Source organism: Homo sapiens, chromosome X, assembly GCF_000001405.40.
Source record: "Homo sapiens chromosome X, GRCh38.p14 Primary Assembly".
NCBI lineage: Eukaryota > Metazoa > Chordata > Mammalia > Primates > Hominidae > Homo > Homo sapiens.
The window spans coordinates 65549788-65569829 of NC_000023.11; the positions used below are offsets into that span (position 1 = coordinate 65549788).

Consider the following 20042-nt stretch of genomic DNA (forward strand, 5'->3'; position numbering starts at 1 on the left):
TTTCCAAGTGTCCTCGAGAAAAGAGAGACTGTCCCGTGTGGCCCAGGCTTTTCCAGGCACGCACCGGCCCCCAGAGGAAGCCATGGTGCCGCCTGGGAAGGAGCGAGCACCAGAGGTTACCCAGGGCACTTCCTGGCGTTGCCCCGGCACAACTTAGATGAACAAAGACGAAACTAAAACCTGAAGACCCAGACACAGGAGGAGAGGGCAGGTCTGGTCAGTCCCCTAGGGGAGCTGCTTGGGCTTCAGGCAGTGCCCACCAGGGGATTTTCAAGAGTTTTTTCACAGACTGTGAGTGTAGATCTGGAGGCCAGGTGGTCCACAGGACAGCCACCTTCCAGCAGTGACATCACCAAAGGTTATCAGAAAGGCATGCTCTTTCTGGTGTCTCGTGCCTGCAAAGGAGACCAGAACGAGGGGCACAGGACCCCAGGTAGGGCCCTGCCTGGCTCCCTCCATTCCTGATTCAACAGGGAGGTGTGGTGGGGGCCCTCACCATGTTTCTGTCCGGGTTCAATCCAGGGAGGACCTTCCCACCCTCCTCAGAGTGGTGGCCCAGCCTGGCAGTGGGGGGTGGAGCACCAGCAGGAGGAAGGCAGGAAACTGGTCATCCAAGTCCAGGGAGTGGAGCACTACCAGGAGGAAGGCGGGGACTGGTCACTCAAGTCCAGGGAAGAGGCCAAAGGCACACACTGGACCTTCAGGTCCCAAACCTCAATCCTTGATCCTCTGCCACTGGAGCTGCCACCAGGCACTTCAGAACAGGGGAAACTGCCCATCTTGAGGTGGGCACAAAGGCACGTTTCTAGGTGAGGGTGGCAGCTGCAGCTTGATCGGATGGTCCTGAGATAGCAGCAGGGCCCAGCATCCGGGGAAAGGGGGGGAAGGGAGGGCAGGCTGCAGAGGGGCCCTGTGGGAGGCCCTGGCCAGCTTTGCACAGCCCGGGCATGGCCCCGGGCGCAAAAGTCACTTCTCCGTGGTCTGAGAAATCTGCTGAGGCAGCCCTCCCCATGTGGTGACCCATGAGACTGTTAGCCAGCCCCTGCTCCTCAGGAGGACAATGCCGGGCCAGGGCCCCCAGTTGCCCTCCTCCTGCGGGGTGCAGCGTCCTCAGCCCTGCTCCAGGCTGTCGCTGGGCTGCACCACGGTGTAGCTCCCCTGGCCCAAGGACAGCTGCTGGCTGAAGAAGGACGTGGTGCTCTTCGTCTTCACTCGCCTGATCCCCTTGCCGTCCTCCACATAGGCGATGGTGGAGAGATGCTGGATCCGGCTGGACACCACACTGCCCTGCCTCCGCAGCTTGGGGCGCTGAACAGGAGCTGGCGAGGAGCTGAGGTCTGAGGGCGAGCCAGTTGCACTGTCCTGGGGGCCTGCGGGCTCCGCCGCCTGGCTCAGTTAGATGCAGTACTCAATGAGGCTGCTCATCAGTTCGGCCTGCTTGGAGTAGATCTTGAGGAGCTTGTTGACAGGTGTGACCCCGCTGTCCCTGTCGAACTCCAGCCACAGGATGGGCTCCTCCTCCTCAGGGGAGGTGTGGTCCCACGACAGCTCCTGGAAGCACAGGCCCAGCAGGACGTGCTTCTCTCTGCTGTCCACGACGTGCACACCTTCCAGGCTGATGGCCACAGAAACTGATTTGCGCCCACCCCGGTGCAAAAAGCCTTGGGCTGGCTTGTCAACCTCACCGTGGAAGAAGGCACACCCATAGAAGGGCAGCTTGTGGCACTTGAGGAGGTAGGCGCGGTAGTGGGTGCCCAGGGCGGCCTCACACCCGCCGTCGCTGCTGACCTCCTGCACCTTGCGGTAGGCGTTCAGCAGGCTCTGCTCACCCGGCCCGGCCCTGGCCCCACGGCCCCGGAGGGCAGCAAAGAGACCCTGGCCCCGCTTACAGAGGTGGGCAGGGAGGAAGGAGTCCAGCTTCTCCCTCAGGTCGCAGGCTGCCGGCCAGTCGGGCTGGTAGGTCACGAGCTGCACGCGGCACACCAGGGCGCCCAGAGCCTCGCAGTCCTCAACGTCGCACAGGTACCGTGCAGCCAGCACGTTGCCCTTGGCCTCCTCATAGAGCAGCCGCAGGACCTCCTCGTCGGGGATCTGGAGCTCCCGCCCCTTTGGGAAGAACACGTTCCTTCGGAACTGCAGGAAAGGCTCATCCATGGCCACGTCGTCGTCCGGGGCACTGGTGAAGCGCAGCAGCAGCTCCGGCCACTGGCGTCCCAGCTTGTAGGGCTGGTTCTTGGGTTTCAGCTGCACCTCCAGCAGAGGGGAGACCAGCCAGAGCGCGAAGACATCCAGGGCGATGTCCGGAAGCTTCAGGACCTCGCGGACGGCGCAGTGCAGCTCATGGGCACGGAGCGAGGGCAGGTTCTCCACAGCCAGGGGCACCACCGTGTCATCTGCCAGGTATACCAGCACGTCAGCCGCTCGGGCTCCCACGGAGGACACGCTGCTTCGGTGGGACCGCTCAGTGGGGCCGGGCTGCCCGACACTGCCTTCCGTCCCGTCCATCTCACAGGGTCGCAGAGCCCGCCACCTGAGAGGCAAGGCTCCTGCCCGGAATCCTGCCCCTCCACCAAGCCCACGGAATCTTGCTCTGTCACCCAGGCTGGAGTGCAGTGGCGCGATTTCGGCTCACTGCAACCTCTGCCTCTCTGGTTCAAGCGATTCTCCTGCCTCAGCCTCCTGAGTAGCTGGGATTACAGGCATGCGCCACCACACCTGGCTAATTTTTTTTTGTATTTTTAATAGAGACAGGGTTTCACCATGTTGGTCAGGCTGGTCTCGAACTCCTGACCTCGTGATCTGCCCACCTCAGCCTCCCAAATGCTGGGATTACAGGCGTGAGCCACCATGCCTGGTCCAACAGCCTCATTTTAACTTAATTACTTATTTAAAGACTCAGTCTCCAAATACAGTCACATTCTGAGGTGCTGGGGGTCAGAGCTTCAACATACGAATTTTGAAGGGATACAATCAGCCATAGAACTAGCTGTGTGACCTTGGCCTCTCTGCACCTGGTTTCTCCCCAGGGTATGTAGAGATAATTAGGGGTGATATTCTAAATATTTGACACCTGGAAGGGAGTCTGACAACCTACAAACTTTCGTGGCCCTAGTGTTAGAGCAGAGTCCTAGAGGCCCCTGCTATGCCAGGCATTAATCCTTTGGTTGTTGAATTATATGGGGAGGTCCTAGGGGGAGGAGTTCTCATGAAGGAATCAAGGTGGTGGTGGTGCGAGTGAAGAGTGTTACCAATCAGTATAGAAGTTTTTAAATATTTTAACAGCCTGTACAGCTCTATCCCTGCATACTACCCAAATATCAGTCCCAGTAGAATTAATGCCTACCTTATTAGTGTAGTTATACACACACATGTTGACCTCTTCTCCAAACACTCACCTTGGTTTCTCTAAAGTAATCCTATCAGGCCCAATTCTAGGGTCTCAAAAACTCAGCTGCCCCAATGCTGAAGAGCTCTTTTCTCCTCTCTCATACACTGTGGAGTTTACCAAGATAGGGTAGCTGGTGGCTGTTTGGGGCATGGTCTCTATATTACTCTGTTCTCACACTGCTAATAAGGACATACCCGAGACTGGATAATTTATAAAGGAAAGAGGTTTAATTGACTCACAGTTCCACATGGCTGGGGAGACCTTGCAATCATGGCTGAAGACAAATGAGGAGCAAAGTCACATCTTACATGGCAGCAGGCAAGAGGGCTTGGGTAAGGGAACTCCCCTTTATAAAACCATCAGATCTCGTGAGACCTAATCACTATCATGAGAACAGCAAGGGAAAGACCCGCCTCCATGATTCACCAGGTCTCTCCTGCAAAAAGTAAAAGTAGAGGTTCCTCTTCAAAGACTTTCCTCCCCGTCTAATTAGGAATAAATAGTAACTTCTCTTAGAAGCAAAATTTATTCAAAGACCTGTGCTAACATTCTTAAATATCTGCTAGCTGTAATAAAGACATCAATGTACTTTATGTTCTTAGCTCCCACAATTTAGCCTAAATATTTGCCCTGGCATGCTTATACTGGTCCAAGCAAAGCATTAGGCCATACCCTGTTGCTCTTCCTTATTTGAAGGTGTTTTTACCTTTCTCAGCATTCCACAAGTTACTTCCTCCTTCCTTTGTTCTCTTCTGCCTTTGCCTCTTTTAGAAAGTTCTAAGTTGCTAGCCAGTCGGAACAAATACAGAATTTGAGGTCCCATTCCACCCCATGGAAACTGGACACAGCAGTAGGGTGGACGTGTCAGGTTGTAAATGACCCTGTCTCCTTTGTTCAGTGTACTCTCATGGCAAAACTGCTGGCAAGTGTACCCTTTCTGCAGAAAGTATAAAAATGGCCTTGCTGAGGAAAGTAAATTTATGTTCAAGTGCTATTTCTTTATGGCACTGGGGAACAAGCATTTCGAACACTCCCATGACACATAGGAGTTATAGGAGCCACCAGTCAAGATGAGATTTGGGTGGGGACACAGCCAAACCATATCAGTCTCTAGGGACTCCAAGAAAGACACCCATCTCTATGTCCTGGAATGGTGTAGACTGTTTTATGTCTACACCATTACAGTGTAGCAAGACACCCATCTCTATGCCCTGGAATGGTGTAGACTGTTTTATATCTACACCATTACAGTGTAACAAAAGGCTAAGATTACAGTCTGGGCTTAGTTGCCTCCTCACCGTCTCCCTCTCTTGGTGGACTTCACTCTTCCCTTTGTCCTACAAGGGTCTGGACAGTTCAGTGTTCTGTGAAAGCTTTTGCTGGGAAGCAGAAAGGAACTTGAACAGTAGTCAAGTTAGAGCCATCTCTCTCCCTCATAGGAGACTCTTTCTTGACCTTGACATCCATTTTATCCCATTCGCCTTTTTCCCCAGGGGCCAGAAATGAGACATCTTTGGGCAAGGAAGCCAGAGCACTCTGCCTCCTGTCTCTTGACTGAGGGCCACTTCTCCACAGCTCTTTATCTCCTGACTCATCTTTGCTTTTTTCTTTTGTTTTTGTTTTTTTTGAGATGGAGTCTCACTCTTGCCTAGGCTGGAGTGCAGTGGCATGATCTCAGCTCACTACAACCTCCGCCTCTTGGGTTCAAGTGATTCTCCTGCCTCTGCCTCCCAAGTAGCTGGGATTACAGGAGCCCGTCACCACGCCTGGCTAATTTTTGTATTTTTAGTAGAGGCGAGGTTTCAACATGTTGACCAGGCTGGTCTCAAACTCTTGACCTCAGGTGATCTGCCTGCCTCAGCCTCCCAAAGTGCCCACCTCATCTTTGGGAAGTTGATAGAAAGGGGTGGGGGCAGAGCCTTTCCTTAGCGTTGGGGGTTCCTTAATGGGAACCCAGGCCAAGAGGAATAATATGAGATTTCAGGGCAGGCTACTGACCCCAAGCCTCGGATAGTTTAGCAAAACCTAAATGAAGGGTGTAGTCAGCTTCACTACCTCAGCATTCCTGGGGCTGTCCAGCAGGGCTCTTCTGGAAAGCTGAGGCCAAACAGAGAGAGAGAGAAGAAAAAGGTCCAACACGGTGGCAGCCAGTCAGAGGTGACTTTGGAAGTGGAGCAAGAGATCCCAGAACATTTGAGAAAGTTCTTTATAAACAGCTCCTAGATTTTGAAGGGAGTGGTTATGAGGAATGTTTGCTGGGATGAGGGTTTAGGGAGGCCGGGGTGATTCAGTTTCATCTCCTCTCTTTGATGGAACCATGGGATCTCAGCCAGACTCCCTTGCAAGCTAGTGGGGGCATTTTGTTTGTCCACCATTGAGTTGCTAGGGCAGCCTAATATTATGGAAAGAGCACTGAATTTGGAGCCACATAGTCTGAGCTCTAGCTCCAGCTCTGCCACTGAATTGCTGTGTGACTTGGGCAAATTTCTTCTTAGATCTCTGTAACATGAGACAGGGAGGGACTTCTTGGTCTCTGTGGGATCCATTCTGCTCTATCTTCCTGAGTCTCTGAGTCAGTGGAGGTGGTGTAGGGTAGGGGAATGGACCAGCTTCTGCCTTCCAGCTTCCACCTTCAGCCTTGCCTCTTGGGATTGGGGCCAGTAAGCCTGAGAGAAGTCATTCCTCCTTTTACCTCTGCCTCCCTAGGGATGGCTCACTGACCCTCATTTTCTCTAGACCTCGGCTACTTCTAGTTCTTTTAGTTGTGATGTTAGGTTGTTAATTTGAGATCTTTCTAACTGTTTGATGTGGGCGTTTAGTGCTACAAATTTCCCTCTTAACTTTGCCGTAGCTGTGTTCCAGAGATCGTGGTATGTTGTATCTTTGTTCTCATTAGTTTTAAAGAACTTCCTGATTTCTGCCTTAATTTCATTATTGACCCAGAAGTCATTTAGGAGCAGGTTATTCAATTTTCATGTAATTGTATGGTTTTGAGTGAATTTCTTAGTCTTGGTTTCTAATTTGATTGCGCTGTGGCCCGAGAGATTGTGATAATTTCAGTTCTCTTCCATCTGCTGAGGAGTGTTTTACTTCCTATTATGTGATGATTTTTTTTTTTTTTGAGATGGAGTTTCACTCTTGTTGCCCAGGCTGGAGTGCAATGGCACAATCTTGGCTCACAGAAACCTTCGCCTCTCGGGTTCAAGCGATTCTCCTGCCTCAGCCTCCCAAGGAGCTGAGACTACAGGCATGAGCCACCATGCCCGGCTAATTTTTGTATTTTTAGTAGAGATGGGGTTTCACCATGTTGGACAGGCTGGTCTCGAACTCCTGATCTCAGGTAATCTGCCCACCTCGGCCTCCCAAAGTGCTGGGATAACAGGCGTAAGCCACTGCGCCCAGCCTTATGCAATTGATTTTAAAGCATGTGCCATGTGGTGATGAGAAGAATGTATATTCTGTTGTTTTTGGGTGGAGAGTTCTGTAAATATGTAACAGATCCATTTGATCCAGTGCTGAGTTCAGATCCTGAATATCTTTGTTAATTTTCTGTCTCAATGATCTGTCTAATATTGTCAGTGGGATGTTTAAATCTCCCACTATTATTCTGTGGGTGTCTAAGTCTCTTTGAAGGTCTCTAAGAAATTGCTTTATGAATCAGGGTGCTCCTGTGTTGGGTGCATATTATATTTAGGATAGTTAAGTTTGTTGAATTGAACCCTTTACCATTATGTAATGCCATTCTTTGTCTTTTTAAAAATCTTTGTTGGTTTAAAGTCTGTTTTGTCAGAAACTAAGATTGCAACCCCTGCTTTTTTTCTGTTTTCCATTTGCTTGGTATATTTTTCTCCATCTCTTTATTTTGAGCCTGTGTTTGTCATTGCATGTGAGATGGGTCTCTTCAAAACAATGGTCTTGGTTCTCTATCCAGCTTGCCACTCTCTGTCTTTTAATTAGGTCATTTAGCCTGTTTCAATTTGAGCTTAGTATTGTTATGTGTGGATTTGATCCTGTCATCATTTTAGCTGGTTATTTTGTACACTTGTTTATGTGGTTGCTTTATAGTGTCACATCTTTGAGATGTTTGGGGGTCACCAATATCAGATACCCCCTCAGAAACGTCCTCACTATAAAGGATGAATTCATATAGAGCAAGGAGTCTAGCAGCACTCCTGTGCCTTTGTGCCTCCAAGGGTGAGGGTCCAGAGAAATAGGTCTTACTTGCCCTTGAAAATACATCTTTTTTTCTTTTTTTCGGAGTGTCTCTCTGTCACGCAGGATGGAGTGCAATGGCATGATCTCGGCTCACTGCAACCTCCACCTCCCAGGTTCAAGCGATTCTTCTGCCTCCGCCTCCCGAGTAGCTGGAACTACAGGCGCATTCCACCACACCGGGCTAATTTTTGTATTTTTAGTAGAAACGCGATTTCACCATATTGGCCAGGCTGGTCTCGAACTCCTGACCTCATGATCAGCCTGACTCGGCCTCCCAAAGTGCTGGGATTACAGGCCTGAGCCATCGCGCCCAGCCTGAGAATACATCTTTATAGAATACTCAGTATAGTGCTCTGCCTCCACACCCTGCTAAATTAAACTGGTTGTTACTGGGAAAAAAAAATCTCCTGTTTGGGTTTTACCAAGAGACACACACACTTTGACTTTAGTCCTGTCCCCCTCCCAGTGAAAGTGGCAAAAACAATAACTGAAGGATTTAGGCATTACTGTACTCTCTTTTCTTGGGCAGTAGGTAAAAGTTATTTTAAAATTAACTAGTTTTTTTTAATATTAAAAACAATACCTGCACATTGTAAAGCATTTAAACAGTACAAACAGCCAGATTACCAGGTTCATTCCACAAGGGTACCCAATGAAAACAGTTTCTTGTGTGTTCCTTTGAAAAAATGTTAATATTTCTACAGAACAACCTTTTTTTTATTCACACAAATGGACTCAAACCAGTTACACTGTTCTCTGCCTTACTTTGTTCCCTTAACTATTTGGATGACTTTCCATATCAGTACAAACATATTCACCTCACTCTTTTTAATAGAGATACAGATGGAGGTAGAGTTTATACTGTAGTTTAACAGATCAGTCCCTAAATGATGAACATTTAGGGATTCCACCCCCTCCACCCAGTCTTTTGCTACTAGAAACAATGATATAGTGACTATCCTTGTACACATGTCCATGCACAGGTGTGAAATATCTGCAGGCTAAATTCCTAGAAATATAACTGTTGGATCAAAGAGTATGCACACTTAACATTTTTTTTTTTTTTTGAGACAAGAGTCTCACTTTGTCACCTAGGCTGGAGTGCAGTGATGTGATCTCGGCTCACTGCAACCTCTGCATCCCGGGTTCAAGCGAATCTCGTCCCTCCGCCTTCCGAGTAGCTGGGACCACAGACATGCACCACCATGCCCAGCTAATTTTTTTGTATTTTTAGTAGAGACGGGGTTTCATCATGTTGGCCAGGCTGGTCTCATACTCCTGACCTCAAGTGATCTGCCCGCCTTAGCCTCCCAAAGTGCTGGGATTACAGGCATGAGCTTCCACACCTGGCACACACTTAACATTTTTGATTAATACTGACAAATTGCCCTCCAATGAGATTGCCCAATTTATACTCTTAATAGGCTATGTAGAAGATGGACTGTTTTCCCACACTGTCACTCACACTAAGTATTAACAAACTTAATAATCTTATAGGTGAAAAGTTGTATCTCACTTTAATTTTAATTTTTCTTTATGAGCAATGATGAGCATCTTTATCAGTAATTCATCTTTCTTACTGTCTACTTACTGTTCATGCCCTTTCCCCATTTTGTATTGTTATTCATCTTAATCTGACTGATTTATATGATCTTTTTGTTATTGAGAAAAGTAGCCCCTCTCTTACTTGTTTTATGTATTATAAAATCTGATACCACTTTGTTGTTAGTGTTTTGACTTTGTCATATATATTTTTGTGATGCAAAAGTTTTAAATATTATGTGAAATGCATCAATATTTTCTTGTATGGCTTTTGGATTTTGTATGACATTTAGAGTTTCTTCACTTAAAGGTTATACAATCTTCTTATACATTCATTAGTCTCTTTCTTTCTTAGCATTTAAATCTTAGATCCATCTGGAATTTTCCCTATTTTATAGTTAACATTTCAAGCTTAGCACCCCTAAATATGCTTATTTCCCTCAGACTAGTGCTTTTCAAATATTTCCACAAAAGGATATCTCAGAGGAGAGGAGTGTCCTTGAAACCCTGGGGATCTGGAGAGATTTGGTGCCAGCCACAGGATCAACATTTTTTTTTCTTTGAGACAGAGTCTTGCTCTGTTGCCCAGGCTGGAGTGCAGTGGCATGATCTCAGCTCACTGAAACCTCTGCCTCCCTGGTTCGAGCGATTCCCCTGCCTCAGCCTCTCGAGCAGCTGGGATTACAGGCACCCACCACCACACCCAGCTAATTTTTGTATTCTTAGTAGAGAAGGAGTTTCACCATGTTGGCCAGGCTGGTCTCGAACTCCTGACCTCAAGTGTTCCACCTGCCTTAGCTTCCCAAAGTGCTGGGATTACAGGCTTGAGCCACCCCGACCGGCCAAGATAAGGAATCTTTAAAAAAAAAAAAAAAATATATATATATATATATATATATATATATATATATATATATATATATATTTGCTCTTGTTACATATTAAAGAATTCCTTAATATGACTAAAAAATCAGTTTTTAAATTTCCCTGGCATAAAACAATCTATGAAGACCGTTTAATAAATTGATGTTTTAGCCAGATGCAGTGGCTCATGCCTGTCATCCCAGCAACTTAGGAGGCTGAGGCAGGAGGTTTGCTTGAGCCCAGGAGTTCTAGACCAGCCCGGGCAACATATGGAAAACTTGTCTCTACAAAAATAAAATAAAATAAAAAATAGCCAGGTGTGGTGGTGCACACCTGCAGTCCTAGCTATTCAGTAGGCTGAGGTGGGAGGACTGCTTAAGCCCAGGATTTTGAGGCTGCAGTGAGCTATGATTGCTCCACTGCACTCCATCCAGCCTGAGCAATAGAGCAAGACCCTGTCTCAAAAAAAAAAAAAAAAAAGAAAGAAAAGAAAAGAAGTTGATGCTTTTATTAACATCAGTAATTTGTGGGGACTGCATGAGAAATTTTCGTTGAAGGTGCCAAGGCCCAGAAACTTCCTTGCAAATCCGTAACTATCAGCCCCTAAGACTGAATTCTTTCAGCTTCTCTCTGAAACCTATCTTTGAGTCAGACTGCTGCCTTAATTAACTTTTTAACTTCCTTTGCTAGACCTTCTAGAAAATTAATTCTTCCTCCTTAATTCTCTTTAGAACTAGCCACTTTCAAAGAGTTGCTCCTGAAATATACAATACATTGTTGTTAACTATCAATTTTAAAAAGTTGCTTCTGACAATAAGCATAGAATTCCATCAATCTCAGGATACACCTGAAGCTTTTCTAAAATAGTTTATCACCAGGCACGGTGGCTCATGCCTGTAATCCCAGCACTTTGGGAGGCTGAGGCAGGTGGGTCACCTGAGGTCAGGAGTTGGAGACCAGCCTGACCAACATGGTGAAACCCCGTCTCTACTAAAAATACAAAATTAGCCAGGCGTGGTGGAGCATGCCTGTAATCCCAGCTACTCAGGAGGCTGAGGCAGGAATATTGCTTGAACCCAGGAGGGAGAGGTTGCAGTGAGCTGAAATCATGCTATTGTACTCCAGCCTTCAGGCAACAAGAGTGAAACTTCATCTCAAAAAAAAAAAATCTTTAAGTCATTTTGTCTGGGTGCGGTGGCTCACACCTGTAATCCCAGCACTTTGGGAGGCCGAGGGGGCTGGATCACCTGAGGTTAGGAGTTGAAGACCAGCCTGGCCAAGATGGCAAAACCCCGTCTCTACTAAAAACACAAAAATTAGCCAGGTGTGGTGATGGGCACCTGCAATCCCAGCTACTCAGGAGGCTGAGGCTGGAGAATCGCTTGAACCCAGGAGGCAGAGGTCTCAGTGAGCTTACATCACACCACTGCACTCCAGCCTAGGCGACAAGAGCAAAACTCCATCTCAAAAAATAAAATAAAATAAAATAAAATAAAATAAAATAAAATAAAATAAAAAGAATTTCTTTTGTGGGAAACAAACAAACACCTAGCTTTTTCATAGATTTTCCTAATCTAAGCTGAGGTTCATGTCTCCTGGGGGAAAATTAAACAAAACGAGGAACAGAAGGCTGAGTGAAGGATCCTGGCAGAAGTGGCAGTGAAGCTGGCCTCTTTGGGATCCAACTTTAATCACCCAAAGAAAGGCTACATGGTTGATAGGGCACATCTATGTTCCATCGCCTTGGAACACAGATATTCAGGGGGCATGGACTGGGATTAATCACAATCTAATTCCAATTTCAACTAGGCATAGAGAAGAATTTCTCTGGTAAATGTTTGAGAAAATAGAAATGGCACAGTAGCGCATGCCTGTAATCCCAGCAGTTTGGACAAGGCAGGAGGATTGCTTGAGTTCAGGAATTTGAGATCAGCCTGGGCAACACAATTAGACCTTATCTCTATTTTTTAAAAGTAATATTAATATGCCGGGCACGGTGGCTCATGCCTGTAAACCCAGCATTTTGGGAGGCTGAGGCGGGCGGATCACCTGAGGTCGGGAGTTCGAGACCAGCCTGACCAACATGGAGAAACCTCGTCTCTACTAAAAATACAAAATTATCCAGGCATGGTGGTGCATTCCTGTAATCCCAGCTACTTGGGAGGCTGAGGCAGGAGAATCACTTGAATCCGGAAGGCGGCAGTTTCGGTGAGCTGAGATCGTGCCATTGCACTCCAGCCTGGGCAACAAAAGCGAAAGTCCATCTCTAAATAAATAAATAAATAAATAAATAAATAAATAAATAGAGAAAATAGTAAGATTGATATCCATCTTCCTAGTCTTCAGGAGGATATTCCTCCCTTGCCTGTACACGCCTTTCCCCTACACATACACTCTGAGCTGAAGCATCTTATCCATCTGTCAGAGGCTGGTTCAAGTTGTAGGCTTGAAGGCTGGGATTTGAGTCTTGACCTAGGCGAAAACAAGGACCAGGGCCTGGCCAGGAAAGGATCAAAAGGATACTGTTCACAACAACCCTTCCTATGAGTAGTGGGCATTTTATCCAACAAAACCTGTTCATGTTCACATTTGTTTTGTTTTGTTTTGTTTTGTTTTTTTGAGATGGAGTCTTTCTTTGTCGCCCAGGCTGGAGTGCAGTGACGTGATCTCAATTCACTGCGACCTCCGCCTCCCAGCTTCAAGTGATTCTCCTGCCTCAGCCTCCCAGTAGCTAGGATTACAGGTGTGCACCACCATGTCTGGCTAATTTTTTTTTATTTTTAATAGAGATGGGGTTTCACCATGTTGGCCAGGCTGGTCTTGAACTCCTGACCTCAGGTGATCCGCTCGCCTCGGCCTCCCAAAGTGCTGGAATTACAGGCGTGTGTCACCATGGCTGGCCATGTTCATACTCTTTCTTCTTTTTTAATTTTCTTCTTCTTCTTATACTTTAAGTTCTGGAGTATATGTGCAGAACTTGCAGGTTTGTTACATAGGTATACATGTGCCATGGTGGTTTGCTGCACCCATCAACCTGTCATCTACATTAGGTATCTCTCCTAGTGCTATCCCTCCTCTAGCCCCCTACCCCCTGACAGGCCCCAGTGTGTGATGTTCCCCACCCTGTGTCCATGTGTTCTCATTGTTCAACTCCCACTTATGAGTGAGAACGTGAGGTGTTTGGTTTTATGTTCTTGTGTTAGTTTGGTAAGAATGATGGTTTCCAGCTTCATCCATGTCCCTGCAAAGGACTTGAACTCATCCTTTTTTATGGCTGCATAGTATTCCATGGTGTATGTGTGCCACATTTTCTTTATCTAGTCTATCATTGATGGACATTTGGGTTGGTTCCAAGTCTTTGCTATTGTGAACAGTGCCACAATAAACATACATGTGCATGTGTCTTTATAGTAGAATGATTCATAAACCTCTTGGTATATACTCAGTAATGGGATTGCTGGGTCAAATGGTATTTCTGTTTCTAGATCTTTGAGGAATCGCCACACTGTCTTCCACAATGTTTGAACTAACTTGCACTCCCACCAGCAGTGTAAAAGCATTCCTATTTCTCCACATCCTCTCCAGCATCTGTTGTTTCCTGACATTTTAATGATCCCCTTTCTAACTGGCATAAGATGATATCTCATTGTGATTTTGATTTACATTTCTCTAATGACCAGTGATGATGACCCTTTTTTTTCATGTTTGTTGGCTGTATAAATGTCTTCTTTTGCTGGGTGTGGTGGCTCACGCCTGTAATCCCAGCACTTTGGGAGCCTGAGGTGGGTGGATCACGAGGTCAGGAGTTCAAGACCAGCCTGGCCAAGATGCTGAAACCGCGTCTCTACTAAAAATACAAAAATTAGCCAGGCATGGTGGCAGGCACCTCTAATCCCCACTACTTGGGAGGCTGAGGTAGGAGAATCACTTGAACCCTGGGTGGGTGGAGGTTGCAGTGAGCCAAGATTGCACCACTGCATTCCAGCCTGGGTGACAGAGTGACACTCCATCTCAAAAAATAAATAAATAAAATAAAATAAAATAAAAATAAATGTCTTCTTTTGAGAAATGTCTGTTCATATCCTTCGCCCACTTTTTGTTGGGGTTGTTTGTTTTTTTTCTTGTAAATTTGTTTAAGTTCTTTGTAGATTCTGGATATTAGCCTTTGTCAGATGGATAGATTGCAAAAATTTTCTCCCATTCTGTAGGTTGCCTGTTCACTCTGATGATAGTTTCTTTTGCTGTGCAGAAGCTCTTTAGTTTAATTACATCCCATTTGTCAATTTTGGCTTTTGTTGCCATTGCTTTTGATGTTTTAGTCATGAAGTTTTTGTCCATGCCTGTGTCCTGAATGGTATTGCCTTGGATTTCTTCTAGGGTTTTTATGGTTTTAGGTCTTACATTTAAGTCTTTAATCCATCTTGAGTTAATTTTTGTATAAGGTGTAAAGAAGGGGTCCAGTTTCATTTTTCCGTATATGGCTTACCAGTTTTCCCAACACCATTTATTAAATAGGGAATCCTTTTCCTATTGCTTGTTTTTGTCAGGTTTACCAAAGGTCAGATGGTTGTAGATGTGTGGTGTTATTTCTGAGGCCTCTATTCTGTTCCATTGGTCTATATATCTGTTTTGGTACCAGTACCATGTGGTTTTGGTTACTGTAGACTCGTAGTATAGTTTGAAGTCAGGTAGCGTGATGCCTCCAGCTTTGTTCTTCTTGCTTAGGATTGTCTGCTATGTGGGCTCTTTTTTGGTTCCATATGAAATTTAAAGTAGTATTTTTCTAATTGTGTGAAGAAAGTCAATTGTAGCTTGATGGGGATAGCATTGAATCTATAAATTACTTTGGTCATTATGGCCATTTTCACGATATTGATTCCTCCTATCCATGAACATGGAATGTTTTTCCATTTGTTTGTGTCCTTCTTTAATTTGTTGAGCAGTGGTTTGTAGTTCTCCTTGAAGAGGTCCTTCACATCCCTTGTAAGTTGTATTCCTAAGTATTTTATTCTCTTAGTAGCAATTGTGAATGTTGTGAATGGGAGTTCATTCATGATTTGGCTCTCTGTCTATTACTGATGTATAGGTATGTTTGTGATTTTTGCACATTAATTTTGTATCCTGAGACTTTGCTGAATTTGCTTATCAGCTTAAAAATATTTTGGGCTGAGATGATGGGGTTTTCTAAATATACAATCATGTCATCTACAAAACAGAGACAATTTGACTTCCTCTCTTCCTGTTTGAGTACCCTTTATTTCTTTATCTTGCCTGATTGCCCTGGCCAGAACTTCCAATATTAGGTTGAAGAGGAGTGGTGAGAGAGAGCATCCCTGTCTTGTGCCAGTTTTCAAAGGGAATGCTTCCAGTTTTTGCCCATTCAGTATGATGATGGCTGTGGGTTTGTCATAAATAGCTCTTATTATTTTGAGATACATTCCATCAACACCTAGTTTATTGAGAGTTTGTAGCATGAAAAGGTGTTGAATTTTGTCAAAGGCCTTTACTGCATCTTTTGAGATAATCATGTGGTTTTTGTCATTGGTACTGTTTATGTGGTGGATTACAGTTATTGATTTGTGGATGTTGAACCAGCCTTCCATCCTAGGGATGAAGCCGACTTGGTCATGGTGGATAAGCTTTTTGATGTGCTGCTGGATTCGGTTTGCCAGTATTTTATTGAAGATTTTTGCATCGATATTCATCAGGGATATTGGCCTGAAATTTTCTTTTTTTTGTTGTGTCTCTGCCAGGTTTTGGTATAAGCATGATGCTGGCATCATCAAATGAGTTAGGGAGGAGTCCCTCTTTTGCTATTGTTTGGAATAGTTTCAGAAGGAATGATAACAGCTCCTTCTCTCTCTTCTTCTTCATTATTCTGGCTAGCAGTCTATCTATTTTGTTGATCTTTTCACAAAACCAGCTCCTGGATTCATTGATATTTTGAAGGGTTTTTTTTGTGTATCTATATCCTTCAGTTCTGCTCTGATCTTAGTTATTTCTTGTCTTCTGCTAACTTTTGAATTTGTTTGCTCTTGATTCTCTAGTTCTTTTAATTGTGATGTTAGGGTGTCAACTTTAGATCTTTCCTGCTTTCTCTTGTAGGCATTTAGTGCTATAAATTTCCCTCTAAACACTACTTGAGCTGTGTTCCAGAGATTCTGGTACGTTGTATCTTTGGTCTCATTGGTTTCAAAGAATTTATTTATTTCTGCCTTAATTTCATTATTTACCCAGTAGTAATTCAGCAGCAGGTTGTTCAGTTTCCAGTAGTTGTGCGTTTTTGAGTTAGTTTCTTAATCCTGAGTCCTCATTTGATTGCACTGTAATCTGAGAGACAGTTTATTACAATTTCTATTCTTTTGCATTTGCTGAGGAGAGTTTTACTTCCAATTATGTGGTGAATTTTAGAATAAGTGTGACCTGGTGCTGAGAAGAATGTATATTCTGTTGATTTGGAGTGGAGAGTTCTGTAGATGTCTATTAGGTCCACTTGGTCCAGAGTTTAGTTCAAGTCCTGAATATCCTTGTTAATTTTCTGTGTCATTGATCTGTCTAATATTGACAGTGGGGTGTTAAAGCCTCCCACTATTATTGTGTAGGAGTCTGAGTCTCCTTGTAGGTCTCTAAGAACTTGCTTTATGAATCTGGTTTCTCCTGTATTGGGTGCATATATATTTAGGATAATTCGCTCTTCTTGTTGCATTGTTCCCTTTACCATTATGTAATGCCCTTCATTGTCTCTTTTGATCTTTGTTGGTTTAAAGTCTGTTTTATCAGAGACTAGGATTGCAACCCTTGTTTTTTGTTGTTGTTGTTGCTTTTTTTTTGTTTTTTTGTTTTTTGTTTGTTTTTTTTTTGCTTGGTAAATATTCCTCCATCCCTTTATTTTGAGCCTATGTGTGTGTTTGCACGTGAGATGGGTCTCCAGAATACAGCACACTGATGGGTCTTGACTCTTTATCCAATTTGCCAGTCTGTGTATTTTTACTGGGGTATTTGGCCCATTTATATTTAAGGTTAATATTGTTATGTGTGAATTTGATCCTGTCATTATGATGCTAGCTGGTTATTTTCCTGTTAGTTGATGCAGTTTCTTCATAGTATCGATGTTCTTTGTAATTTGGTATGGTGGCTGGTACTGGTTGTTCATTTCCATGTTTAGTGCTTCTTTTAGTCACTCTTGTAAGGCAGGCCTGTTGGTGACAAAATCTCTCAGCATTTGCTTGTCTGTAAAGGATTTTATTTCTTCTTCGCTTATGAATCTTAGTTTGGCTGGATATGAAATTCTGGGTTGAAAATTATTTTCTTTAAGACTGTTGAATGTTGGCCCCCACTCTCTTCTGGCTTGTAGGGTTTGTGCAGAGAGATCTGCTGTTAGTATGATGCGCTTCTTTTTGTGAGCAACCTGACCTTTCTCTCTGGCTGCCCTTAACATTTTTTTCCTTCATTTCAACCTTGGTGAATCTGATGATTATGTGTCTTGTGGTTGCTTTTCTCAAGGTATATCTTTGTGTTGTTCTCTGTATTTCCTGAATTTGAATGTTGGCCTGTGCCAAGACCAACTCGGTCAGGGAGACCCTAACCCAGTGGCGCTAGAGGAATTAAAGACACACACACAGAAATATAAAGGTGTGAAGTGGGAAATCTGGGGTCTCACTGCCTTCAGAGCTGAGAGCCCCAAACAGAGATTTACCCATGTATTTATTAACAGCAAGCTAGTCATTAGCATTGTTTCTATAGATATTAAATTAACTAAAAGTATCCCTTTTGGGAAACGAAAGGATGGGCCAAATTAAAGGAATAGGTTGGGCTAGTTAACTGCAGCAGGAGCATGTCCTTAAGGCACAGATCACTCAGGCTATTGTTTGTGGCTCAAGAATGCCTTTAAGAGATTTTCTGTCCTGGGTGGGCCAGGTGTTCCTTGCCCTCATTCCCGTAAACCCACAACCTTCTGGCATGGGTGTTAGGGCCATTATGAACATGTTACAGTGCTGCAGAGATTTTGTTTATGGCCAGTTTTGCTGCCAGTTTATGTCCAGATTTTGGGGGGCCTGCTCCCAACAGGCCTGTCTCGCTAGGTTGGGGAAGTTCTCCTGGATAATATCCTGAAGAGTGTTTTCCAACTTGGCTCCATTCTCCCGGTCACTTTCAGGTACACCAATCAAATGTAGGTTTGGTCTTGTCACATAGTCCCATATTTCTTGGAGGCTTTGTTTGTGCCTTTTCATTCTTTTTTCTCTAATCTTGTCTTCACACTTTATTTCATTAAGTTGATCTTCAAACTCTGATATCCTTTCTTCTGCTTGATTGATTTGGCTATTGATACTTGTGTATGCTTCACGAAGTTCTTGTGGTGTGTTTTTCAGCTCCATCAGGTCATTTATGTTCTTCTCTAAACTAGTTATTCTAGGTAGCAATTCATCTAGCCTTTTTTCAGGATCTTATCTTCCTTGCCTTGTGTTAGAACATGCTCCTTTAGCTTGGAGGAGTTTGTTATTACCCACCTTCTGAAGCCTACTTCTGTCAATCTGTCAAACTCATTCTCCATCCAGTTTTGTTCCTTTGCTGGCAAGGAGTTGTGATCCTTTAGACGTATTCTGGTTTTTTGAATTTTCAGCCTTTTTACAGTGGTTTCTCCCCATCTTCGTGGATTTATCTACCTTTGGTCTTTGATGTTGGTGACCTTCGGATGGAGTTTCTGAGTGGACATCCTTTTTTGTTGATGTTGATGCTATTACTTTCTGTTTGTTAGTTTTCCCTCTAACAGTCAGGCCCTTCTGCTGCAGGTCTGCTGGAGTTTCCTGGAGGTCCACCCCAGACCTTATTTGCCTGGGTATCACCAGCAGAGTCTGCAGAACAGCAAAGATTGCTGCCCGTTCCTTCCTCTGGAAGCTTTGTCCCAGAGGGGCAACCACCAGATGCCAGCTGGAGCTCTCCTGTATGAGGTGTCTGTCTGCCCCTGCTTGGAGGTGTCTCTCAGTCAGGAGACATGGGCATCAAGGACCCACTTGAGAAGGCAGTCTGACCCTTAGCAGAGCTCCAATGCTGTGCTGGGAGATCTGCTGCTCTCTTCAGAGCCAGCAGGCAGGGACATTCAAGTGAGCTGAAGCTGTGCCCACAGCAGCCCCTTCCCCCAGGTGCTCTGTCCCAGGGAGATGGGGGTTTTATCTATAAGCCCCTGACTGGGGCTGCTGCCTCTTTTTCACAGATGCCCTGCCCAGAGAGGAGGAATCTAGAGAGACTGTCTGACTACAGTGGCTTTGCTGAGCTATGGAGGGCTCTGCCCAGTTGGAACTTCCCCAGGGGCTTTGTTTACACTGTGAGGGGAAAAACGTCTACTCAAGCCTCAGTAATGGTGGACTCCCCTCTCCTCACAAAAGCTCCAGTGTCCCAGGTTGACTTCAGACTGCTGTGCTGGCAGTGAGAATTTCAAGCCAGTGGATCTTAGCTGCTGGGCTCCATGGCTGTGGGATCCACTGAGTTAGACCATTTGGCTCCCTGGCTTCAGCCCCCTTTCCAGGGTAGTGAATGGTTCTGTCTCACTGGTGTTCCAGGCACCACTGGCGTATGAAAAAAAAACTCCTGCAGCTAGCTCAGTGTCTGCCCAAATGGCTGCCCAGTTTTGTGCTCAAAACCCAGGGCCCTGGTGGCATAGGTACCCGAGGGAATCTCCTGGTCTGTGGGTTGTGAAGACCATGGGAAAAGCATAGTATAGGGGCCAGAGTGCACCGTTCCTCATGGCAAAGTCGCTCACAGCTTCCCTTGGCTAGGGGAGAGAGTTCCCCAACCCCTTGCATTTCCCGGGTGAGATGATGCCTCACCCTGCTTTGGCCCGCCCTCCGTGGGCTGCATCCACTGTCTAACCAGTCCCAATGAGATAAACCAGGTACCTCAGTCGGAAATGCAGAAATCTTCTGCCTTCTGTGTTGATCTTGCTGGGAGCTGAGGACTGGAGCTGTTCCTATTTGGCCATCTTGCCTGAGTCTAGCCATGTTCATATTCTTAATGCCCATCAATGAAGTGGGTGCTT

At 45.3% G+C, this 20042-nt stretch overlaps 1 pseudogene across 1 annotated transcript; it reads right to left on the reverse strand.

Annotated features, from left to right (window-relative positions):
• Positions 1 to 834: 834 nt before the first annotated feature.
• On the reverse strand, positions 835 to 2634 carry FRMD8P1 (FERM domain containing 8 pseudogene 1; annotated as a pseudogene). Its single transcript, NR_033742.1, has one exon. The product of NR_033742.1 is annotated as an FERM domain containing 8 pseudogene 1 (transcript).
• Between the last annotated feature and the right edge of the window lie 17408 nt (positions 2635 to 20042).